This window comes from Homo sapiens, chromosome 1 (assembly GCF_000001405.40).
Source record: "Homo sapiens chromosome 1, GRCh38.p14 Primary Assembly".
NCBI lineage: Eukaryota > Metazoa > Chordata > Mammalia > Primates > Hominidae > Homo > Homo sapiens.
Genome location: NC_000001.11, coordinates 100,184,467 through 100,210,082, shown reverse-complemented (window position 1 = coordinate 100,210,082; position 25,616 = coordinate 100,184,467). Strand labels below are relative to the sequence as shown.

Sequence of the window (25,616 nt, the reverse complement as noted above, 5' to 3'; positions counted from 1 at the left end):
GCCTCAGCCTCCCAAAGTGCTGGGATTACAGGCATGAACCACTGTGCCTGGCAAATTCCTGGAATTTTAATATTAAGAATAATTTAAGTGAGAAAAATAATAAAAGTTTGAATTCAATTTGAGTAAACTCTTCTGTGAGTAGTGAAAGTTTCTTAAGACCGAAAACTCTTTTTGAGATGCCTTTCCTGAAGTTTACTTATCATTAGAAGTGCACAACCAGAGGCTGGGCACGGTGGCTCACGCCTATAATCCCAGCACTTTGGGAGGCTGAGGCGGGTGGATCATGTGAGGTCAGGAGTTTGAGACCAGCCTGGCCAACATGGTGAAACCCTGTCTCTACTAAAAATACAAAAATTAGCCAGCCGTGGTGGCCAGCGCCTATAGTCCCAACTACTCAGGAGGCTGAGGTGGGAGAATTGCTTGAACCCAGGAGGCGGAGGTTGCAGTGAGCCAAGATTGTGCCACTGCACTCCAGCGTGGGCGACAAGAGCAAAACTCCATTTCAAAAAGAGAATTAAAAAAAGAAAAAAAAGAAAAGACATGTACAACCAGAAAGTGAGCTTAGATATTCTGGGAGGTCAGCTCCCATACGGTTAATACAGTCAGCTGTATTAATTTTAATTTTAATATCTCCTGATTAAGTATATACTTATTAAAAAAATTTCAGGCAAGAAAATGATGTTGGCCGGGTGTGGTGGCTCCTGCCTGTAATCCCAGCACTTTGGGGGACAGAGGTAGGAGGATGGCTTGAGCCTAGGAATTCAAGACCAGCATGGGCAACAAAGTTAGGAGGCCCCATCTCTACAGAAAAAAAAAATTAGCCAGGCATGGTGGTGCATGCCTATAGTTTTAGCTGCTTGGGAGGCTGAGGCAGGAGAATCATATGATACCTGGGAGATGGAGGTTGCAGTGAGTTGTGATCATGCCACTGCACTCCAGCCTAGGTGACAAAGTGAAACCCTGCCTTTGTCAAAAAAAAAAAAAGAAAAGAAAAGAAAAGAAAAAAGAAAACAAAGATGTTTACCCTCAATTCCATGACCCTAAGATAGCTCACTGTTTATGTTGAGATATACATCTTTCTAGGATTTCATTTTTACATACTTTTTACAAGATATAGAATTATTTATATTTTCTTTAACTTGCTTTTTTCTTTTTCTTTTTTTTTTTTTTTTGATACAGAGTCTTGCTCTGTTGCCTATCTAAAGTATTCCCCATAGAGAATATCTATGCTGTGGTGTAATCATCGCCTCACTGCAGTGTCCACCTCCCACCGCAGCCTTCTGAGTAGCTGGGACTATAGGCACGTGCCACCATGCCCAGCTAATTTTTGTACTTTTTTTTTTTTTTTGTAGAAATGGGGTCTTGCCATGTTGCCCAGGCTGGTCTCTAACTCCTGGGCTCAAGTGATCCACCCACCTCAGCCTCCCAAAGTGCTGGGTTACAGGCATGAGCCACTGTGCCCAGCCTCTTCATTTTCATTTACTATATTGTAGACATCATTGTCAACAAGTATAGCTTTGTTATTTATTTAGCCAGTGACCTATTTATAAACATCATGATTATTTGCAGTTTCTCAAACTTATAAACAGTGTGTACTCAACATCCCTGTGTATCCCTACATACTTCTGCACTTAGTTCCTTAACACGAATTTTTATAAATGTTGGTTCATGTTGTCATATGTTCTCCAGAAAGTCTCTACAGTTTAAGTATCCGTTACCTGAAATGCTTGGGACCAGAAGCGTTTTTGGATTTAAGATTTTTTTGGATTATGGAATATTTGCATATACAAAGGAGATATCTTGAGGACAGGACTCAAGTGCAAACATGAAATTCACTTATGTTTCATTTACCCCTCATACACATAGCCTAAAGGTAATTTTATACAATATTTTTAACATTTTTGTGCATGAAACAAAGTTGGATTTGTTTTTTTTTGTTTTTGTTTTGGAGACAGAGTCTTGCTCTGTGGCCCAGGCTGGAGTGCAGTGCTGCGATCTCGGCTCACTGCAAACTCTGCCTCCTGGGTTCATGCCATTCTCCTGCTTCAGCCTCCTGAGTAGGTGGTACTGCAGGAGGCTGCCACTACGCCTGGCTAATTTCTTTTTGTATTTTTCGTACAGATGGGGTTTCACTGTGTTAGCCAGGATGGTCTCCATCTCCTGACCTCGTGATCCGCCCGCCTCGGCCTCCCAAAGTGCCGGGATTACAGGCGTGAGCCACTGTGCCCGGCCACAAAGTTTTTTTTTTTTCTTTTTTTGACACAGAGTTTTGCTCTGTCACCCATGCATAATCATAGCTTATTGTAACCTAAAACTCTTGAGGTCAAATGATCCTCCCACCTCAGCCTCCCAAGTAGCTGAGACTATAGGCATGTGCCATAATTTAAAAAAAAATTTTTGTAGCTAATTAAAAAAAATTTTTTTGTAGAGATGGAGTCTTGCTATGTTGCCCAGGCTGGTCTCAAACTCCTGGCCTCAAGCAATCCTTCTGTGTCAGTCTCCCAAAGTGTTGGGATTATAGGCATGAGCCACTATGCCCTGCCAGAACAATGGCTGCATTTTTCTCTTTTTTTTTTATTGATGGGCTCTGATATGATTAAATATTATAAAATGAGAACTGTTTCAACAACTATGCAGCATAATGTTTAAGGACAAAATATTGAATATACTTTTTATTATATATGTATTTTATCACATAGTAAGGAATGCTGAGGTGCTTAATCCATCCAATAAATTGAAAATAAAATCTTTACATTTCTATATTTGTCAGTATACAGAATTCTGAAGATGGATCTTGACTCAGGGTGATAAATCAGTTTTCAAGGAAATTGGCTACATCACATGACGTCATTTCAGCCCCCAGAAGTTTCAGATGTTGGAGCATTTCAGATTTCAGATATTTGGACTAGGGATGCTCAACCTGTACCAGTTACATTCCCACTAACGATGTTGGGAAATAGCCTATTGCCTACATTCTTATCAATAAAAAATTATCATCTTTTTTTGGACAGAGTCTCACTCTGTCTCCCAGGCTGGAGTGCAGTGGCACAATCTCGGCCCACTGCAACCTCCACCTCCCAGGTTCAAGCGATTCTCGTGCCTCAGCCTCCCGAGTAGCTGGGATCACAGGCCTGTGCCACCATGCTAATTTTTGTATTTTTAGTAAAGATGGGGTTTCACTATGTTGGCCAGGCTGGTCTTGAACTCATGACCTCAGGTAATCCAGCCACCTTGGCCTCCCAGAGTGCTGGGATTACAGGCATGAGCCACTGCGCCTAGCCCAAAAAATCTTTTAAAAATTATTTTTAAATTATTTCTTTTAAATCACTACCAATCTGGTAAAAATGAGTTTTGGTAGTGGTTTCTAGATGGCAGTGAAGGTTGATCCTTTCTTTGCTGTTAGCTTATTCATTAAAAGCCCTACTGTACAATTTTTTATTTTTTAGGCTTCTCATAACATTGGGATAGCAATGGATACTGAGCAGGGTTTGATTGTCCCTAATGTGAAAAATGTTCAGATCTGCTCTATATTTGACATCGCCACTGAACTGAACCGCCTCCAGAAATTGGGCTCTGTGAGTCAGCTCAGCACCACTGATCTTACAGGAGGAACATTTACTCTTTCCAACATTGGATCAGTGAGTAATAATGTTGAAATACATAAACCATTACTTAAGGTTTCTGATCATATGCTTAATTAAAAATAGAAAAGTCACTTGGCATTTGTTCCCTGAAAAATCTTAACTTTTAATACTCTCCTTTTTTTTTTTTTAAAAAATAGATTGGTGGTACCTTTGCCAAACCAGTGATAATGCCACCTGAAGTAGCCATTGGGGCCCTTGGATCAATTAAGGTACATGTATTAGATAACTGAAAAATGGAGTTTAAGCAAATTCAGGGACTAAACACAATGAAGAGTAACCATTTCTAAGGTTTCCCCTCCTTTTGTAGGTTTTAAGTTTCTGAGTTTATCTTAGAAAGTCTATTATTTCTTTTTTTTTTTTTTTTTTAACTTTAAGTTCTGGGATACATGTGCAGAATGTGCAGGTTTGTTACATGAGTATACACCTGCCATGGTGGTTTGCTGCACCCATCAACCCGTCATCTACATTAGGTATTTCTTCTAGTGATATTCCTCCCCTAGCCCCAGACCCCACGACAGGTCCCCAGTGTATGGTGTTCCCCACCCTCTGTCCATGTGTTCTCATTTTTCAACTCCCACTTATGAGTGAGAACATGCAGTGTTTGGTTTTCTGGTTTCCAGCTTCATCCATGACCCTGCAAAGGACATGAACTCACTCTTTTTTATGGCTGCATAGTATTCCATGGTGTATATGTGCCACATTTTCTTTATCCAGTCTAACTAACATTGATGGACATTTGGGTTGGTTCCAAGTCTTTGCTATTGTGAATAGTGCTGCAATAAACATACATGTGCATGTGTCTTTATAGTAGCATGATTTATAATCCTTTGGGTATATACTCAGTAATGGGATTGCTGGGTCAAATGGTATTTCTGGTTCTAGATCCTTGAGGAATCGCCACACTGTCTTCCACAATGGTTGAACTCATTTACACTCCCACCAACAGTGTAAAAGCGTTTCTATCTCTCTATATTCTCTCCAGCATCTGTTATTTCCTGCCTTTTTAATGATTGCCATTGTAACTGGCATGGTATCTCATTGTAGTTTTGATTTGCATTTCTCTAATGACCAGTGATCATGGGCTTTTTTTCATATGTTTGTTGGCCATATAAATGTCTTCTTTTGAAAAGTGTCTGTTCATATCCTTCGCCCACTTTATGATGGGTTGTTTGTTTTTTTCTTGTAAATTTGTTTAAGTTCCATGTAGATTCTGGATATTAGCCCTTTGTCAGATAGATAGATTGCAAAAATGTTCTCCCATTCTGTAGGTTGCCTGTTCTCTCTGATGATAGTTTCTTTTGCTGTGCAGAAGCTCTTTAGTTTCATTACATCTGATTTGTCAATTTTGGCTTTGTTGCAATTGCTTTTGGTGATTTAGTCATGAAGTCTTTGCCTATGCCTATGTCCTAAATGGTATTGCCTAGGTTTTCTTCTAGGGTTTTTATGGTTTTAGGTCTTACATTTCAGTCTTTAATCCATCTTGAGTTAATTTTTGTATAAGGTGTAAGGAAGGGGTCCAGTTTCAGTTTTCTGCATATGGCTAGCCAGTTGTCCCAACACCATTTATTAAATAGGGAATCCTTTCCGCATTGCTTGTTTTTGTCAGGTTTGTCAAAGATCAGATGGGTTGTAGATGTGTGGTGTTATTTCTGAGGCCCCTGTGCGGTTCCATTGGTCTATCTCTCTGTTTTGGTACCATTACCATGCTGTTTTGGTTACTGTAGCCTTGTAGTATAGTTTGAGGTCAGGTAGCATGATGCCTCCAGCTTCCTTCTTTTTGTTTAGGATTATCTTGGCTATGTGGGCTTTTTTTTTGGTTCCATATAAAATTTAAAGTAGTTTTTTCTAATTCTGTGAAGAAAGTCAATGGTAGCTTGATGGGAATAGCATTGAATCTATAAATTACTTTGGGCAGTTTGGCCATTTTCACAATATTGATTCTTCCTATCCATGAGCATGGAATGTTTTTCCATTTGTTTGTGTCCCCTTGTATTTCCTTGAGCAGTGGTTTGTAATTCTCCTTGAAGAGGTCCCTCACATCCCTTGTAAGTTGGATTCCTAGGTATTTTATTCTCTTTATAGCAATTGTGAATGGGAGTTTCCTCATGATTTGGCTCTCTGTTTGTCTGTTATTGGTGTATAGGAATGCTTGTGATTTTTGCACATTGATTTTGTATCCTGAGACTTTGCTGAAGTTGCTTATCAGCTTAAGGAGATTTTGGGCTGAGCCGATGGGGTTTTCTAAATATACAATCATGTCATCTGCAGACAGAGATAATTTGACTTCCTCTCTTCCTATAGAATATGCTTTATTTCTTTCTCTTGTCTGATTGCCCTGGCCAGAACTTCCAATACTATGTTGAATAGGAGTGGTGAGAGAGAGGGCATCCTTGTCTTGTGCCAGTTTTCAGAGGGAATGCTTCCAGCTTTTGCCCATTCAGTATAATATTGGCTGTGGGTTTATCATAAATAGCTCTTATTATTTTGAGATATGTTCCATCAATACCTAATTTATTGAGTGTTTTTAGCATGAAGGGGTGTTAAATTTTATCCAAGGCCTTTTCTGCATCAATTGAGATAATCATGTGGTTTTTGTCATTGGTTCTGTTCATGTGATGGATTATGTTTATTGATTTGCACATGTTGAACCAGCCTTGCATCCTAGGGATGAAGCCGACTTGATTGTGATGGATAAGCTTTGTAATATGCTGCTGGATTCGGTTTGCCAGTGTTTTATTGAGGATTTTGGCATTGATGTTCATCAGGGATATTGGCCTGAAATTTTCTTTTTGTGTGTGTGTCTCTGCCAGGTTTTGGTATCAGGATGATGCTGGCCTCATAAAATGAGTTAGGGAGGATTCCCTTTTTTTCTGTTGTTTGGAATAGTTTCAGAAGGAATGGTACCAGCTCCTCTTTGTACCTCTGGTAGAATTTGGCTGTTAATCTATCTGGTCCTGGGCTTTGTTTGGTTGGTAGGCTATTAATTACTACCTCAGTTTCAGAACTTGTTATTGGTCTATTCAGGGAGTCGACTTTTTCCTGATTTAGTCTTGGGAGGGTGTATGCGTCCAGCAATTTATCCATTTCTTCTAGATTTTCTAGTTTATATGTGAAGAGGTGTTTATAGGATTCTCTGATGGTAGTTTGTATTTCTGTGAGATCAGTGGTGATATCCCCTTTATCATTTTTTATTGTGTCTATTTGATTCTTCTCTCTTTTCTTCTTTATTAGTCCAGCTAGCAGTCCATCAATTTTGTTAATCTTTTCAAAAAACCGGCTCCTGGATTCATTGATTTTTTTGAAGGGTTTTTTTGTGTCTCTGTCTCCTTCAGTTCTGCTCTGATCTTGTTTATTTCTTGTCTTCTGCTAGCTTTTGAACGTGTTTGCTCTTGCTTCTCTAGTTCTTTTAACTGTGATGTTAGGGTGTTGATTTTAGATCTTTCCTGCTTTCTTCTGTTGGCATTTATTTCTGTGGGAAATTTATAGTGCTATAAATTTCCCTCTACACATACTTTAGCTGTGTTCCAGAGATTCTGGTACGTTGTGTCTTTGTTCTCATTGGTTTCAAAGAACATCTTTATTTCTGCCTTCATTTCATTATTTACCCAGCAGTCATTCAAGAGCAAGTTATTTAGTTTCCATGTAGTTGTGTGGTTTTGAGTGAGTTTCTTAACCCTGAGTTCTAATTTGATTGCACTGTGGTCTGAGAGACTGCTTGTTATTGTTTCCATTCTTTTGCATTTGCTGAGGAGAGTTTTACTTCCAATTGTGTGTACGATTTTAGAATTAGTGCTATGTGGTGCTGAGAAGAATGTATATTCTGTTGATTTGGGGTGGAGAGTTCTGTCGATGTCTATTAGGTCCGCTTGGTCCAGAGCTGAGTTCAAGTCCTGAAGATGCTTGTTAATCTTCTGTCTCATTGTTCTGTCTAATGTCTAATGTTCTGTCTAATGTTGACAGTGGGGTGTTAAAGTCTCCCATTATTATTGTGTGGAAATCTAAGTCTCTTTGCCAGTCTCTAAGAACTTGCTTTATGAATCTGGATGCTCCTGTATTGGGTGCATATATATTTAGGATAGTTAGCTATTCTTGTTGCATTGATCCCTTTACCATTATGTAATGCCCTTGTCTTTTTTTTATCTTTGTTGGTTTAAAGTCTGTTTTATCAGAGACTAGGATTGCAACCCCTGCTTTTTCTTTTTTTTTGCTTTCCACTTGCTTGGTAAATCTTCCTCCATCCCTGTATTTTGAGCCTATGTGTGTCTTTGCACATGAGATGGGTCTCCTGAATACAGCACATTGATGGGTCTTGACTCTTTATCCAGTTTGCCAATCTGTGTCTTTTAATTGAGGCATTTAGCCCATTTACATTTGAAGTTAATATTGTTATATGCAAATTTGATCCTGTCATTATGATGACAGCTGGTTATTTTGCCTGTTAGTTGATGCAGTTTCTTCATAGTGTCGATGGTCTTTACATTTTGGGTTGCTTTTGCAGTGGCTGCTACCAGTTGTTCCTTTCCATGTTTAGTGCTTCCTTCAGGAGCTCTTGTAGGGCAGGCCTGGTGGTGACAAAATCTGTCAGCATTTGCTTGTCTCTAAAGGATTTTATTTCTCCTCCACTTATGAAGCTTAGTTTAGCTGGATATGAAATTCTGGGGTGAAAATTCTTTTCTTTAAGAGTGTTCAATATTGGCCCCCACACTCTTCTGGCTTGTAGAGTTTCTGCCGAGAGATCCACTGTTAGTCTGATGGGCTTCCCTTTGTGGGTAACCCGACCTTTGTCTCTGGTTGCCCTTAACATTTTTTTCCTTCATTTCAACCTTGGTGAATCTGACAATTATGGATCTTGGGGTTGCTCTTCTCGAGGAGTATCTTTGTGGTGTTTTCTGTATTTCCTGAATTTGAATGTTGGCCTATCTTGCTAGTTCGGGGAAGTTTTCCTGAATAGTATCCTGAAGTGTGTTTTCCAACTTGTTTCCATTCTCCCTGTCATTTTCAGGTACACCAATCAAACGTAGTTTTGGTCTTTTTCACATAGTCTCATATTTCTTGAGGCTTTGTTCCTTCCTTCTCATTCTTTTTTCTCTAATCTTGTCTTCATGCTTTATTTCATAAAGTTGATCTTCAATCTCTGATATCCTTTCTTCCGCTTGATCGATTCAGCTATTGATACTTGTGTATGCTTCACGAAGTTCTCATGCTGTGTTTTTCACCTCCATCAGGTCATTTATGTTCTTCTCTAAACTGGTTATTCTAGTTAGCAATTCCTCTAACCTTTTATCAAGGTTCCTAGCTTCCTTGCATTGGGTTAGAACATGCTCCTTTAGCTCGGAGGAGTTTGTTATTACCTGAAGCCTACTTGTGTCAGTTCATCAAACTCATTCTCTGTCCAGTTTTGTTCCCTTGCTGGCGAGGAGTTGTGATCCTTTGGAGGAGAAGAGGCGTCCTGGTTTTTGGCATTTTCAGCCTTTTTATGCTGGTTTTTCCTCATCTTTATGGATTTATCTACCTTTGATCTTTGCTGTTGGTGACCTTTGGATGGAGTTTTTGCATGGTCGTCCTTTTTGTTGATGTTGATACTATTCCTTTCTGTTTGTTAGTTTTTCTTCTAACAGTCAGGCCCCTCTTCTGCAGGTCTGCTGGAGTTTGCTGGGGGTCCATTCCAGACCCTGTTTGCCTGGGTATCACCAGTGGAGGCTGTAGAACAGCAAAGATTGCTGCCTGCTTCTTCCTCTGGAAGCTTCATCCCAGAGGGGCACCTGCCAGATGCCAGCGAGAGCTCTCCTGTATGAGGTGTCTGTCATTCCCTGCTGGGAGGTGTCTCCCCGTCAGGAGGCATGGGGGTCAGAGACCCACTTGAGGAGGCAGTCTGTCCCTTAGCAGAGCTCAAGCGCTATGCTGGGAGATCCACTGCTCTTTTCAGAGTCGGCAGGCAGGAAGGTTTAATTCTGCTGAAGCTGCGCCCACAGCCACCCCTTCCCCCAGGTGCTCTGTCCCAGGGAGATGGGAGTTTTATCTATAAGCCCCTGACTGGTGCTGCTGCCTTTCTTTCAGAGATGCCTGCCCAGAGAGGAGGAATCTAGAGAGGCAGTCCGGATACAGTGGCTTTGCTGAGCTGCAGTGGGCTCTGCCCAGTTCGAACTTCCCTGTGGCTTTATTTACACTGTGAGGGGAAGACCGCCTACTCAAGCCTCAGTAATGGCTGACACCCCTCCCCCCACCAACCTCCAGCATCCCAGGTCGACTTCAGACTGCTGTGCTGGCAGCGAGAATTTCAAGCCAGTGGATCTTAGCTTGCTGGGCTCCGTGGGGTTGGAATCCACTGAGCAAGACCACTTGGCTCCTTGGCTTCAGCCTCCTTTCCAGGGGAGTGTCTCTCACAGTTCTGTCTTACTGGTGTTCCAGGCATCACTGGGGTATGAAAAAAAAAACAAAACTGCAGCTAGCTTGGTGTCTGCCCAAACGGCCTCCCAGTTTTGTGCTTGAAACTCAGGGCCCTTGTGGAGTAGGCATCCGAGGGAATATCCTGGTCTGTCGGATGCAAAGACCATGGGAAAAGCATAGTATCTGGGCTGGATAGCACCATCCCTCACAGCACGGTCCCTCATGGCTTCCCTTGGCTAGGGGAGGGAGTTCCCTGACCCCTTGCGCCTCCCAGGTGAGGCGACGCCCCATCCTGCTTCTGCTGGCCCTCCATGGGCTGCACCCACTGTCTAACCAGTCCCAATGAGATGAACCGGGTACCTCAGTTGGAAATGCAGAAATCACCTGCCTTCTGCCTTGGTCTCACTGGGAGCTGCAGACCGGAGCTGTTCCTGTTCTGCCATCTTGCCTGGGAATCCAAAAACCTATTACTTCTTCCTAAGAGCTAGGCCGGCACTTCTGGTGGCTGCCTCTGTGTGTAATAAATGGTGGCGATCTGGGTTGTTTCTGTATGGATCAACCATTGTGGATTATGCCAGGCACAGATATTGAGTCTTAATGAATAATCACAAATATAGCCAATCTACTTCTATCAAAATATCTTTATTTCATTATACCAAAGAATAATAGAAAACCAATTGAAAATGTTATTTTAAACAAAGTGAGACTCATTTAGAGCATTCTTTGCTCAGGAATCACTGGGAGTGTTAGTTAAAAGCGCAGATTTCTTTACCTTAGGGGCAGAACCCTCCGAACTTAAATTTTGAACAGGAACCCAAATGAGTGCAAAAAGGTGATCGGTGACCATGGTTTAGAAGACACTGACTTAGAATAAGGGTTGCAGTGATTCTTCACCCTGGCTACATGTTAGAATCATACGGGAGCTTGAAAAAAATTATGGCCAAGCTCCCCCTCTACCAGCTGAATTGGAATTTTGGGGGATGGGACTTGGGTACCCCCTATTAATTCAGGGTTGAGGACCACTGAGGCAAATAAGCTCCTGGATACCACTTCAATACCATGTTTATTAAATGTCATTGTCACTACATTAAGAAGAGTGTGTTTTAAGAAGAGCCTTTCTTTTCTACACTTATAATGCTTCCATGTTGAACATCTCTGGGACTTGTCCTCATGAGTTTATTCCTTGCGTGTTGGAACCCTCACAAATTCTTTCCTTCAGCCTTTGATTTGCTTTCTAGCAGATAGTAAATTAGCATCTAAGTCATTCCCCCTTCCTGGCATCCACTTTCCCTTCTGGCAAGCAGAGGAGATAGGGAGAAAAAACAAAAAGACACAGTATGTCACTATTTCCAAATCAGTTCTCTGAGTTATAACTTCTCTCTATCACTCATTCTCTTTTCCAACAAGAATTCAACATTTGATTCTCACAAAATTCTGGCTTCCTGCAGTTTCCAAACCATTATACCTGTTTGACAAAATTTTGTGTTCTCTTTCCTTAAAGAGATTATCTTCTTCTGAATTATATGTGTATATGTATATAATTGTGGTAAAATATATAAACATAAATTGACCATTTAAACCATTTTTAAGTACATTGTTCAGTGGCATTAAGTACATTTACATTGTTTGCCACCATCACCACCATCTGTCTCCAGAACTTTTTCATTATCCCAAACTGAAACTCTGCACTTACTGAGTAATCTCTCCATTTCCCCAGCCTTTGGTAACCACCATTCTATTTTCTGTCTCTGTGAATTAATTGGACTATTCTAGGTACCTCATGTAAGTGGAATCATACAGTATTTGTCCTTTTGTATCTGGCTCAAGGTTCATTCATGTAGCATGTATCAGAATTTCATTAATTTTTAAGGGTAAATAGTATACTGTTGTATATAAATGTATGCCATGTTTTGTTTATACATTCATCCATCAATGAATATTTGGATTTTTCCATTTTTTGGCTCTTGTGCATAATGGTGTTATGAACAAATGAATATTTGATTTATAAATATCTGTTCAATAGATATATTTTACAGAATCATTTTATCCATGGTTTTTTCAAGCCATGAAGTGTAGTTCTTAGAGTAGAAATCTTATTCCCTTAAAATAATATTTGTGGGGTAGGGACAAATAGTATTTAATTCCTTTCTCCCTTTGTGTCATCTTTCCTTTGCTATTTTGTTTTCATTATAGAATTTTAATTCCTTCTTGCTAAATTGTTTAAGTCATTAAGTCTTCCATGTTACTCAATTCTCAGTATTCGTTTTCCTTGACCTACTAGTTGACCTTGAGATGACTGATCAATCCAACCTCTTTGGAAAACTTTCTTAATATTGACTTGCAGAATACCTGGCCATTTTGGTTTTCCTCCTATGTCACTGCCTATTCCCTCTAAGTCTCCTTTACCCATACCTCCTAATGTTCCTAATCTCTGCACATGGAAGCACCCCAGGATTCAGTTCTCACCGCTTTTCTTTATCTGATCTTTCAATACCATTTATACACTGATGACTCCCAGGTTTATATCTCTAGACTGGACCTCACTTTTGAACTTACTCTTATATCTTGCTTGGATGTATAAAGGCATCTTGAATTTTAACATGTCTAAAACTGAGCTCCTGCTCCTTTCCTCACTGCCCCCCACCATCAGACCTGCTCCTCCTAAAGTCGTCCTCTTTCAGTGAATGGCCAATCTGCTCAGACACTTTGAAGGGCTTCTCATCTCACATAGAATCAAAGACAAGTAGTTGCAGTGGCCTACATGGCTTTACACAGATGCTACTCAGTGTGCTCAAGGATCCACATCTGGCTGTGACTGTTGTATCCCAGCCATGAGGAGATCAGTATAGAAAAAGAGAGTAGAGCTTAGAAACTTTTATAGCAGTTTGACAGCATGATTTTATGTCTATTGAATCTAATAATAAGTTGGGGCTTATATTTTGTCTACATTTTTTTTGATAGTGAAAAGATATATATTTAGAATTAGCTGGGTTCATTTTAGATGATCCCAATTTTGTTGGCAATATCCAAAGCATTGTAATCAGGAGCTAATGGAATATATGCCTTCCTCTCTCCGGGCCTGATCAAGGTGTTGACCTTGGCCGCATCAGTGTCATAGAGCTTCCAGCCTGTTTGATGTGGTGCTTACTAGCTTTAATATCCACAAAGAACACAAGCATGTTGTTGTCCTGTCTTCTTCCTGGCCAACTCAGTGGTCAGGGGAACTTGATAATGGCTTGTTTCCTCACTGCCTTCAGTGAGGAAGCCTTATTTAATTGTCTGTCTCTCCCCAGAGCCTAGAAGAATACTTGGCACATAGTGGGTATACAGTAAATAATTATTAAATATTTGAAATCTGAGATGAAAGTTAATGAATGTAGGTATGGGAATTGTACAAGGGATAGGAAGTACCTTGGAGAACTTCTGTAAGCTCCAGGCATATACTCAAAGATGGGAAGAGTAGGAATCAGCATTTTCAAAAGTCATTGGGGATGCCCATTTTTTTCTGTACTGTACAGGAAGAAGGGTTTGCCTGATCTTACACCATTGTTAGAGCTTGAGCTCTGAACAAGTGAAGGTTTACTCTTTGTTCTTTTTTTTTTTTTTTTTTTTTTTTTTTTCATTTCTAGGCCATTCCCCGATTTAACCAGAAAGGAGAAGTATATAAGGCACAGATAATGAATGTGAGCTGGTCAGCTGATCACAGAGTTATTGATGGTGCTACAATGTCACGCTTCTCCAATTTGTGGAAATCCTATTTAGAAAACCCAGCTTTTATGCTACTAGATCTGAAATGAAGACTGATAAGACATTCTTGAACTTTTTGAGCTTCCAAAGAGTATGTAAACCCTAGCTGTGCCAGCACATGTTCATCTTTACAATTTATATTGTAAATGATTTGTATCGTATGATTAAGGATCTAAGGCACAATATTTGTCACTGTTCTATTAGACTTTTTACTGAAAATGAATAATGGTGTAATGGTTCTCCTGGGGCTGTCACATTTTATAGGTCAGAGTGTGACTTCTTAATATGGTGCTGATGTTTTTGTGTCAATGGCTTGAAACTGGCAAGATTAACAAAATTAGGCCGGGCATGGTGGCTCACGCCTGTAATCCCAGCACTTTGGGAGGCCCAGGTGGGCGGATCACCTGAGGTTAGAAGTTTGAGACCAGCCTGGCCAACATGGTGAAACCTGGCCTCTACTAAAAATACAAAAATTAGCCGGGTGTGGTGGTGGGTACCTATAATCCCAGCTACTTGGGAGGCTGAGGCAGGAGAATCGCTTGAACCTGGGAGGTGGAGGTTGCAGTGAGCTGAGATCGTGCTATTGCACTCCAGCCTGGGCGACAGAGCAAGACGCCATCTCAAAAACAAAAAAACAAAATTCATGTTACTAAAAGACAGGTAGCCATATACAGACAGTATATGCCCTATTTTTTTTAACTGACTCTTAATGAAACTTTAATTTTACTTAATTAAGAAATGGAATTTATATACAAAAATATTTTCCATTTCCGTTATTATGCTAATTGTTGTATGAAATAAGTGCAATTATACTTCTCTTTTGAGATATCCAAGAGTATATTCTTGCTCTGTATAGAGAATATCATCTGATAGTGTCTTATTTATATTAATTAATGTCTTTGAAAAGGGAAAAGTATAAACTGGCCTTAAAATTGTCCAATTATAGTTTTATAACCAGTCTATTAAAGGTGTTTGTTTAAAATGGATATAGTTTTAGATTTGTGGTAATGCTTTGGTATTTTCTTGGGGAAGACCTTCACCTTTGCAAACTTCCCTCATGTAAGGAAGGTACTTTAAATGTAGCAGCCACTGACATTTCTTTTTTTAAAAAAAATTTGAGAAGTCTACTTCCTTTTAACTTTTTTGGTCTTCAGCTAAAAAATAGGATAAGAAATTAAGGTCTATTCCATTCTCCATATCCTGGGTAAGAATGTAAATAAGAGGAGAAGGAAGAGTCTAATAGTAATTATGGATATAAAAAATAAGAAATTTTGTATAGAAATGAAGGTTTCATAATGATCATTTTGTTAAAGGTCTACTTTAATCAGAAATAGCAACGAGATGAATGTATCCAACATTTCAATTTGCATTCGGAAATCCATGTTGTTTCTAATATTGTCCAGTTGAAAACTGTATGCCAAAATTAGTTGTTTAAGTGAAGTTTTGTGACAGAAAAAAGGTTGTTTTAATATCTACTTGGTTTTTCTCAAAATGGAAATAATTTTAAAATCAGGAAAGAATAAATCAGCCAGGTGTGATGACTTGTAACTGTAATCCCAGTTATAGGGGAGGCTGAAGCAGGAGGATCACTTGAGGCCAGGAGTTTGAGACCAGCCTGGGCAACATAGTGAGATCCCATCTCAAAAAACATTATTTTTAAAATTAGCCTGGTGGCTCACGCCTGTAATCCCAGCACTTTGGGAGGCCGAGGTGGCCAGATCACCTGAGGTCAGGAGTTCGAGACCACCCTGGCCAACATGGTGAAACCCCATCTCTACAGTTTTGTAAAAATACAAAAAATTACCTGGGCCTGGTGGCACACGCCTGTAGTCCCAGCTACTTGGGAGGCTGAGGCAGGAGAATTGCTTGAGCCCAAGAGGTGGAGGTTACAGTGAGCAGAGATCACACCACTGCACTCCAGCCTGGGTGGCAGAGCAACACTTTGTCTCAGAAAAAAAAAAAAAAACCAAAAAGCCAAGTGTGGTGGTGTGCACCTATAGTCCCAGCTACTCAGGAAGCTGAGACAAGAGGATCAATTGAGCCCAGGAGTTCAAAGCTGTAGTGAGCTGTCATTGTGCCACTATCCTCCAGTATGGGTGACAGAGTGAGACCTGGTCTCTAAAAAATAAAATAAAATAAAAAAAACAGGTCAAATAAATGCTGTTGTTGTAAAATTTCAGATAATACAAAGAGTTAACCAATAAAAGAAAAAGTCATTCATAATCTTACCACTATTAACATTTTGATGTATCTATCTGTATGTATGGCTATTCTTTTTTGTTAAAACATGATCATAGCATATCTACTATTTTATTATTTGATTTTTAAAATTTAACATTATATTATGGGTAACCTTACATGTCAATAAACAATTCCACATTGTCATGCTTTAAATGGCTGCATAGGCTGGGTGTGGTGGCTCACGCCTGTAATCCTACCACTTTGGGAGGCCAAGGCAGGTAGATCACAAGGTCAGGAGTTCGAGACCAGCCTGGCCAATATGGTGAAACCTCATCTCTATTGAAAATACAAAAATCAGCCAGGCACGGTGGCAGGCGCCTGTAGTCCACCTACTCGGGAGGCTGAGGCAGGAGAACTGCTTGAACCCAGCGGCAGAGGTTGCAGTGAGCCAAGATTGAGCCACTGCACTCCAGCCTGGTGATAGAGCGAGACTCTGTCTCTAAATAAATAAATAAATAAATAAATGTCTGCATAGTATTCCATTGTATGCATTTATTATACATTCAAACATTAAACATCTACCATACCAATCATGGTTCTAAGCATACAGTAGCCACCTTCATGCTTCCTTGATTGGGCTTACAGTCTAGTAAGGAGACAGATATTAAATAACTGCATAAAACACTGTTCTTGGTAGGTAATAACCCAGATGCTATGAGCCATCCAGTAAAGGTTACCGATCTTATCTGGAAGGATCAGAAGATGGATGTCCCATAATTTAACCAATTATCTATTGATAGGCATTTATTGAGTTTTAAATGAATAATGACATGATCAATAAAAATGTCCTCCTCACTTAAAGAATAGAAAAACCAGGAGAAGGGAGTTCTGAAATAAGTAAGTATGTAGGTCCAGCATCAATGGCTCAAGATACTCTATTCCCAAATAACCCTTAAGTTATCTGGTTCTATTCCAACCCTTGGGTATTACTATCTTCTCTTTGGTCTCATGCATTGAGAATTCAGCAAAGGATTTGTTCCCTACAGTGTGCACGGCCCTTAGGATAGCAGGATTCCCTGAAGAGGGCCAAAGGGGCAGGAGCGCAGCCTTAGTGGCAGTGCTGGTCCATGAGGCTCTACAAAGCAAGGGATGGGTGTTTGGGAGGAGGAAAAGGCTCTTGCTGTACTCCTAGAGGTTGGAATTAAAGTGGAAAAGCCAGAAAATTCAAGTCCTTTACTAACATGTCTGGAGATTAGAAGGTATATGTACATGGGGGAGAAGCCAAAATTATTGCTGCGAGTGGTCAGCAAGAAAATCAAGGCTCTTTTCATTATTTTGAGCATTCCTCTGATATTTGAAAAGGAAGTACAACAGGAAAGGAAGTCTGAGGATGGAAGCTAAAATTGGTATGAATTTATATTTTAGAGATCAAAATGTACCTTATGTTGAAACCTATGTAAGAAGTGATTATGTAGAAAGAGTGAAAGTGATAGCTCTTAGTCTGGAAAGCCCACTGGCTTGTTTGGGCATTTCTCATGGCTTCCCACTCAAAGTGGATCCCCAAAATCACTTGATGGATTTCCTTGCTGATTTCTAAGTAAACTATGGTTTAAGAAAGAAATGACAGGGCTCAGCACTGCCCTACAGTACCAAGAATACAAATGTTTCCATGAAGTCTTCAAAGGCATTTGTAAAATTCAGGCTGTAAGTGATTAGTTAGTTCATTCTGCACTTATTTATTAACTGTATATTCAGTTCCAGGCTCTAGGGTAGAGATTATGGATAAAGGTGAATTAGATAGATGAAGTTTTTGCCCTCACAGCAAAAGCTTTAGCCAATAATTAAAGCTATCACTGGAAGTGGGTCTGTGCCAATAACCTAGAGAAGAGCAGTGCTTTTAGAGTTGAGCTATATTCCCAATCAGTTCTTAATGGTGGTTTTACCCCCTTCCCTCTACACTGTCTTTTCTTGAGATTGGATCATGTGTGTGAACCCACATCATTTCCAGTCAAAATCACCAAGAGAGGCCGGACACAGTGGCTCATGCCTATAATCCCAGCACTTTGGGAGGCCTAAATGGGTGGGCCTCTTGAGTCCAGAGTTTGAGACCAGCCTGGGCGACCCCAGCTCTACCAAAAAAACCAAAAAACAAAAAATACCAAAAAAAAAAAAAATTAGGCCGATGAAGTGACATGCACCTGTGTGCCACCTACTCAGGAGGCTGAGGTGGCAGGATCACTTGCATCTGGGGGCAAAGGCTGCCGTGAGCTGAGATTGTGCCATTGCGCTCCAGCCTGGGCGACAGAGCAAGACTCTGTGTGTGTGTGTGTGTGTGTGTGTGTGTGTGTGTGTGTGTGTGTGTGTGTGTGTGTGTATACACACACACATATATATACACACACCCCCAGGAGACCTTTTGTCTTTCTTGGTTCATGTGCCCATCAGTGTGGGCAGGAGAATAGAATACTCTGTCCACACTTGAGTCTTAGTCACCTTTGGAGCCTAGGAGTCAGCCATCCTCATTCAACTACATGGATCGAGAATGGGAATCTGGGAGAATTTTTTTATGGGCAGATTAAAAAGGAAGTTAACTATGTAAAGTAAGGCATTGCCTTCCCACCCCATCCCACCTCAGTTCGTGTTAAATTATGAATTTTTCTAAGAGAGTTCTTTAATGACATGGATAGAGAGGAAGCTGAGGTGGCAGTAGAGTAGGGAGTGGAAGGCAAATACATAAGATACTATTAAACTGTGAAGCTGTTTGTTACAATTCCAAGATTTTATAATTTCTCCAACAAAAAACATTTGTATTTTCTTCCCAGTTTAAGTTCAATGTTAATTTGAGAAATAATTCTACTCTCAAACTTCATGTTATGCTGACAGTTCAACTGATGCTGTCAAAATGTGAATTACTAACTTCAGTATTCTCTATTCATCTGATTTTTCTTAAAATGTTTGCGTGTTAATATACTCACTAGCTTTAATGCTCTACTCTTATACTGGCACCTTAATTATGGTAAAAGGTAAAAGGTTAAGTTAAAATTCCCAATCCTAGTTATTTGGTCAAACAGAAGATTAACAGAACTCCATGGCTTACCACAGGAATATTTATCAAGAGAAAAAGAAGATACCTATTTGAATTTACATGACACTTTCTGTGAAATATCTGGATTACCAGATTAGTCTGAAACAAATGCCTTCCAAATTCTACAGCGCATGCCCAAGGCACTCTTTACAGTACCTGTTCGGGTCTTTTCTTCTAATTTTAAGCACCTACCCAAACGTCTTCCCAGGCTTGTCATAATAAGCAAATAACCTCAGAGCAGACAAAGTGATTCAATCTAAGAACCTTGAATTTCTCTCCTTTTCACCTCAAAATTTCTATTCTCACACTTTCTTTTTGTTTCTCTTTCCGAGAAGTGGTTCTCCATCAGCAAATACCAACTGTTTTCTGTCCTCTATTATTTATTCCATCTCTTCCTCCTGATCCCTGCCCCATGTTGAACCCCCATTGCCCCACTTTGATCCTTCAGTCTCTTCCTCACATCCAGAACTGTACCAGATTTACTCCCTTAGCACACTGATTAAAATTTATTTCCATTTCCTTATGGAGGAGGTATTAGAGACTGATCCCAGACCTCTACAAATTTCATTGTGGCAGGGTAATGTTATGTGTCCATAAACCTTGTTCCTTTTCTTTCAGCCTGCAGTTAGGTAGAGCCATGTCATTTATTTGTAACTATTAGAATATGGGTATATGGGTTGAAGTAATGTAGGCCATTTCCAGACATGGCCCATAACACTTCTCAAGAGATTCTTCATATTCTATCTCTTCCCCTCCAACATGCACCCTTCAAGGTTGAAGATGGCACCACACAAGATAGAAGGAGCCAGTGTTCCAAATGACTAGGCAGAGCAGAATGCTCCCCTCCCTACACCCTAGCACCAATTGGTTTGGATGTGATAGTTGAATAATACACTTTTATTGTTTTAAGACATTAATATTTTGAGATTAATCTGCAAGTCTAGTTAGTAAAACTCGAACTCTGAGCTGTCTAATGCAGTAGCCTCTAGCCACATGTAGCTATTTAAATTTAAATTTTAATTTTAATTAATCAAAATTCAACTCAGATATACTAGCCACATTTCAATTGCTCAGTAGCCACACTAATTAAATTTAAATTTAAATAGCTACATGTGGCTTATAGCACCATACCAGATAGCACAGATGTAGACTGTTTCCATCATCACAGAAAATTCTATTGGATAGTGCTGCCTTAACTAATAAGACACAAATGTTCTTATTTTTTAAATAGTCCCTAAAACAAACGAAAAACAAAGAACTCCCTTCTCTAATGGCAAATTTCAGTTTGCCTAAAAGAAGACTCAGAATGCTTTTCTTATATTGTTACCTCTGACTGCCACTAAATGAATAAATTTCCTGTCTTGCTCCTTCTGCCAAACTTCTTGAATGGGTGATCTTTAACTCCTTGCAATCCTGGCTTTTTTCCCCAGTGCTCACCTGTAATCAGTGTTGGCCACAACTCCCACCCAGATGTCTCCTAAATAGTTCTCTGAACCCACCTCTGTCCTGATCTACAGACATTCATTCCAATGCTTTAGCATTTCAAGGTCATCAAATGACTCAGTGACATCTCAGACAGTCAGACAGACCAGGTCAACTATGAACTATTTATGCCAAACCTTACATGGTTCATGTTATCCTTGCTATCCCATCAAAATAACCACAGGCTTTTTTTTTTTTTTTTTTTAATTTTTGAGATGGAGTCTCACTCTGTCACCCCGACTAGAGTGCAGTGGTGCGATCTCGGCTCTGCTCACTGCAACCTCCGTCTCCTGGGTTCAAACAGTGCTCATTCCTCAACTCCCAAGTAGCTGAGATTACAGGCATGCACCATCACGCCTGGCTAATTTTTCTATTTTTAGCAGAGATGGGGTTTCGCCATGTTGGCCAGGCTGGTCTCGAACTCCTGACCTCAAGTGATCTGCCCGCCTCCACCTCACAAAGCTTTGGGATTACAGGCATGAGCCACGGTGCCTGGCCTGCAGCCTCCTTTATTTTACAAAAGGCATTACCACTTAAACACTGAAGATAGCACGAATCTCTGATGTTTGCAAGTTCAGAATAAAATGGAAATGAAAATTCATTATGTGGCAGTCTCAGTACTGAGCACAAAGGCTTTTAACCACAAGCAAATTACTGTGCTAGCCAGACCGTGTGAGAGAACTCCAGGCCAGCTTGCTAAAACTGAGCAGGAGAATTTGGAGAGAGTCCAGAGGAGAGCCACAGAAACAACTGAAGCATGACAAGAATAATTGCAGTTCTGTTATAGAGAGGTCATCTATATCAGGCTTTTATGGAGTACCATGTGGAATGTTACCACGCAGAGCATGGGGAACAGCTGTTGTGACTCAACAAGAGACAGGACAGAAGAAATGAGAACAGGTGGAAGATCAATAATTTAGGTTTGATATGGGGAAAGATGGAACAGTCAAAGGGATTCACACTGATTTTTGGCTGAGCAGAAGGCAGAGTCTCCTCCAACGGGCAATGTAAGTGCCCCCACTCATCTACACCCCGAGAAGAGCCATCAAACTGTATTAAACTTGGAAAAAGCTATTTAACTTCAAGTGTGCTGCGAGAAAACTTCATAATAGTTCCTAAGATGTGCTAAAAAGTAAAGTCCAAAAAGATCATAAAGTCTGTAGAGAAGTTCTAAGAGTGCAGTCAGCTATAAAAACCTAGCAATTTAATTTCTTAGAAAAATGTAGCTGGAGTTCAAACTGTAGTAACAAAGGCAAGTAAATTAAGTTGTGGGCAGGTGTAATTAAGTTAATAGGAATGGCAGGGATGAATATAAATCAGAACAGGACTAACAGTTTGAAACATTAGATATTCAAATGCTCAGAGCTGATGAGCCGAGCCACTACGCTAACAACTCTGCAAACCAAAGGTTTCACAAATTGCACAAGAACCTGGCCTCGATCCCATTGTGTTGCTGGCATAAGATTAGAAGGGCCTGTTGGTTCAATTGTTGCTTTGGACAGAGGAGGACAAACTTGCCACAGTGAAGAAATCATTTTTAAAAACCACCACTGTCCTTTAGTGCACTAATTTCTCTAATAACTAGGTGTATATTAGAAATAATGATATATAAGTGCAGTATACTCCAGTTTCAACAGAATGGTGTCACTTCTGTAAAATGTTGATTTTCAGATTGTCATACTTTCTAAATACAAAAATTTGTCACAGCTTCCACATTTACAAGATATTAAACATTCCATAAAATATTTGTAGAAATATGAAAAACCAATTTTTGTAGTTGCCTTTTGAAATGTATACAAAATATCCCACATGGGCAACATGGTAAAACCTCGTCTCTACAAAAAAAAAAAAAAAAATACAAAAAGTTAGCCAGGCCTGGTGGTGCACGCCTGTGGTCCCAGCTACTCGGGAAGCTGAAGTGAGATCACCTGTGCCCAGGAGGTCGAAGCTGCAGTGAGCTGTGATTGCACCACTGCACTCCAGCCTGGGTGACAGAGTGAGACTTTGTCTCAAATAAACAAAAAGAGACATATACAAAATATATTAGAAAGTTGGGTTAATATCCTACAAACAAAGTATTACATAGTTTGCACAGGATTATGTGTGTAAAAAGTTTTAAATTCAGTATAGCTTTTATTTCTGCAGAACTAAAAGTAGTGCATAAAAATAAAAGTGGGATGAGCATATCTTTTTAATTTGCTATGCAGTAAAAAGTATCTCAGTCAACATATAGGAAACCAGTGCCATTTCTGTATCATTTGACACCGAAGGGGTATTGTTTTTTGTTTTGTTTTGTTTTTCTTTTGAAGAAAGACTTTTATGTCTTTTATTCTATTCTTCCGATTTGGGGTTTAAATTACCCCCAATAAGTTTGCAGAATATTCTGATTACTACTGCTTAGGTGATATATTTCATATGAGAACTATCTTTACACAATGGGAAAAAATATGGTAACCACTTCATTCATCAGAGAAGTTGTGTTTTGTTTACTTGTATTTTGTTTGCTAAATGAAATTGGTTATTTAGACTCATGGCATGCTTTTTCTCAAATGGAGATTTAAAAGTCATTTCCAATGTCCTTCTAACTTCTGGCCAATTCCCAGTAGGCTATAGAATAAACAGTTTTCATATAATAGTCTCTAGTGTCTCCACTGTTGATTGGTTTACAGAAACGACGGTGGTGGTGGTGTTGATGGTGGGGTGTGTGCGTGTGTGTGTGTGTGTGTGTGTGTGTGTGTGTATGAAAAATGACAACTGGCACAAAACAAACCTAAAAATCAGAAGTACATTTTAATTCCTAGTTAAAAACATTAACTTTTTATTCATAAAATACATATTTAATAATAGAAAAAAGAAAAGGGAATAATTAGCACTTAAAATGAACAATTTTTCTTAGCTATTTTAGTAACTTAAATATTTAAGGTATTAAAAGATTGAAACTGTGGGCCGGGGTCATGCCTGTAATCCCAGCACTTTGGGAGACTGAGGTGGGTGGATCACCCGAGGTCAGGAGTTTGAGACCAGCCTGGCCAACATAGTGAAACCCCATCTCTACTAAAAAATACAAAAATTAGCTGGGTGTGGTGGTGGGTGCCTGTAGTCCCAGCTACTTGGGAGGCTGAGGCAGGAGAATTGCTTGAACCTGGGAGGTGAAGGTTGCAGTGAGCCCAGATCACACCACTGCACTCCAGCCTGGGCAACAGAGCAAGACTCTGTCTCAAAAAAAAAGATTGAAACTGTGGGGAAATGTAGCAGAAGTCATATGAGACTGACTGGAATCAGAGTTTAAGGTCCAGGGGAAAGACATTTGGTGTCCACCAACATTCCCCACCTCTCCTTAGAAACAGTCTCTGTTTTGTGAGACCAAGTGGTTCAAGTTAGGATGTAGCCATAACTTTCTAATATAAATCTCAAAATATGGAGAAGAATGACCCATTAACATTTGGCAAGTGTACAGTCTGTTATTTAAGAGTTTTCCTTGCATAGACACACAGACACACACACATCCATCCACCCAACCTTACCTGGAAGATTTCCACATAAAGGAGTATCGGTGTTCACAACAGTGTAGTACTGGCATAAAGACAGACATAAAGACCAATGGAATAGAATAGAGGCCCAGAAATAAACCCTCACATATATGGTCAAATGTTTTTCTGACAAGGGTGCCAAGACAATTCACACTCTTGTGAAAGGGGAAAGAACAGTCTTTTCAGCAAGTGGTGCTGGGAACACTAGAATGAAGAATACAAAAGAATGAAGTTGGACCCTGCTATGGTCTGAATGTTGTGTCCCCCCCATTAATTCATACATTGAAACCTAATCCCCAAGGTGATGGTATTAAGAAGTGGGGCTTTTGGGAGATAATTAGATCATAAGGACATTGCCTTCATAAATGGGATTAGTGTCCTTATAAAAGAGGCCCTGAAGGAGCTTGTTTCACCTGTGAGGATACAGGGAGAAAGTACTACCTATGAGGAATACACCCTTGCCAAACACCAAATCTGCTGGTGCCTTGATCTTGGACTTCCCAGCCTCCAGAACTATGAGCAATAAATTCTGTCATTTAGAAATTGTCCAGTCTCGGCTGGGTGCAGTGGCTTATCCCTGTAATCCCAGCATTTTGGAGGCTGAGGCTGGTGGACTGCTTAAGCTCAGGAGTTTGAGACCAGCCTAGGCAACATAGTGAAACTCCAACTCTATCAAAAATAAAAAATAAAAAATTAGTTGGGCATGGTGGTGCATGCCTGTAGTCCCAGCTACTCAGGAGGCTGAGGTCAGAGGACCACTTGAGCCCAGGAGGTGGAGGTTGTGGTGCGTGATCACACCACTGCACTCCAGCCTGGTGACAGAGTGAGACTCTGTCTCAAAAAAAAAAAAAAAAAAAAAGGAATTACCCATTCTATCTCAGATGTAAGGATGGATCAACATACACAAATCTATAAATGTGATACACCACATTAACAGACTAAAAGACACAAATCATTTGATCATTTCAATAGATGTAAAAAAAAGCATTTGACACAATTCAGCATCCTTTCATTTAAAAAACTGAGCAAATTAGGTATAGAAGGAATGTACCTCAACACAAGAAAGACCAGATGTGACAAACCCACAGCCAACATTATACTCAATGGTGAAGAGTTGAAAGCTTTTTCTATAAGATCAGGAACAAGACAAGGATGCTGTATTAATCTGTTCTCTCACTGCTATAAAGATACTACCAAAAGAGGCTTAATTGACTCACAGTTCTGCATGACTGGAGAGGCCTCAGGAAACTTACAGCAGAAGACAAAGGGGAAGCAAAGCTTGTCTTACATGGCAGCAGGCAAGAGAGAGAGCAAGAAGGGGGAAGCACCAGACACTTATCAAACAACCAGATCTTGTGAGAACTCACTATCACGACAACAGCATGGGGGAAACCACCCCCATGATCCAATCACCTCCCTCCAAGTCCCTCCCTTGATATGTGGGGATTACAATTTGAATTACAATTTGATATGAGATTTGGGTGGGGACACAGCCAAACCATATCAGATGCCCACACCTGTCACTTCTACTCAATATAGTACTGTAAGTTTTAGCCAGAG

General features: G+C 40.0%; 1 protein-coding gene and 1 pseudogene across 8 annotated transcripts in view, besides 2 other annotated features; one reads left to right on the top strand and one right to left on the bottom strand.

The window, feature by feature from the left end:
- Nucleotides 1–23,164, top strand: part of DBT (dihydrolipoamide branched chain transacylase E2) — a 62,916-nt gene extending 39,752 nt beyond the window's left edge. For 7 of the 8 annotated variants that reach the window (NR_174363.1, NR_174365.1, NR_174366.1 and 4 more), the window contains 3 exons: nucleotides 3,447–3,638; nucleotides 3,782–3,853; nucleotides 13,661–23,164. Coding sequence is in view for 4 of the 8 variants with exons in the window: in NM_001918.5 (NP_001909.4) it covers nucleotides 3,447–3,638; nucleotides 3,782–3,853; nucleotides 13,661–13,828 (432 nt within the window). In the remaining 4 variants the exon portion in view is untranslated. Of the gene's footprint in view, nucleotides 1–3,446; nucleotides 3,639–3,781; nucleotides 3,854–9,281; nucleotides 9,441–13,660 lie in introns of all 8 variants that reach the window. The other variant, NR_174364.1, reaches the window with a different exon arrangement.
- Nucleotides 9,149–9,986: an enhancer, noted in NCBI's record as "H3K27ac-H3K4me1 hESC enhancer chr1:100665653-100666490 (GRCh37/hg19 assembly coordinates)". NCBI's record gives its function as "activates a minimal SCP1, AML or CMV promoter by ChIP-STARR-seq in naive H9 embryonic stem cells {active_cell/tissue: H9 hESC(naive)}" and the evidence as "EXISTENCE:reporter gene assay evidence [ECO:0000049][PMID:30033119]".
- RPL23AP90 (ribosomal protein L23a pseudogene 90) lies at nucleotides 13,032–13,267 on the bottom strand (annotated as a pseudogene).
- Nucleotides 21,269–21,418: an enhancer, noted in NCBI's record as "active region_1376". NCBI's record gives its function as "activates an Ori minimal core promoter by ATAC-STARR-seq in GM12878 lymphoblastoid cells {active_cell/tissue: GM12878}" and the evidence as "EXISTENCE:reporter gene assay evidence [ECO:0000049][PMID:35858748]".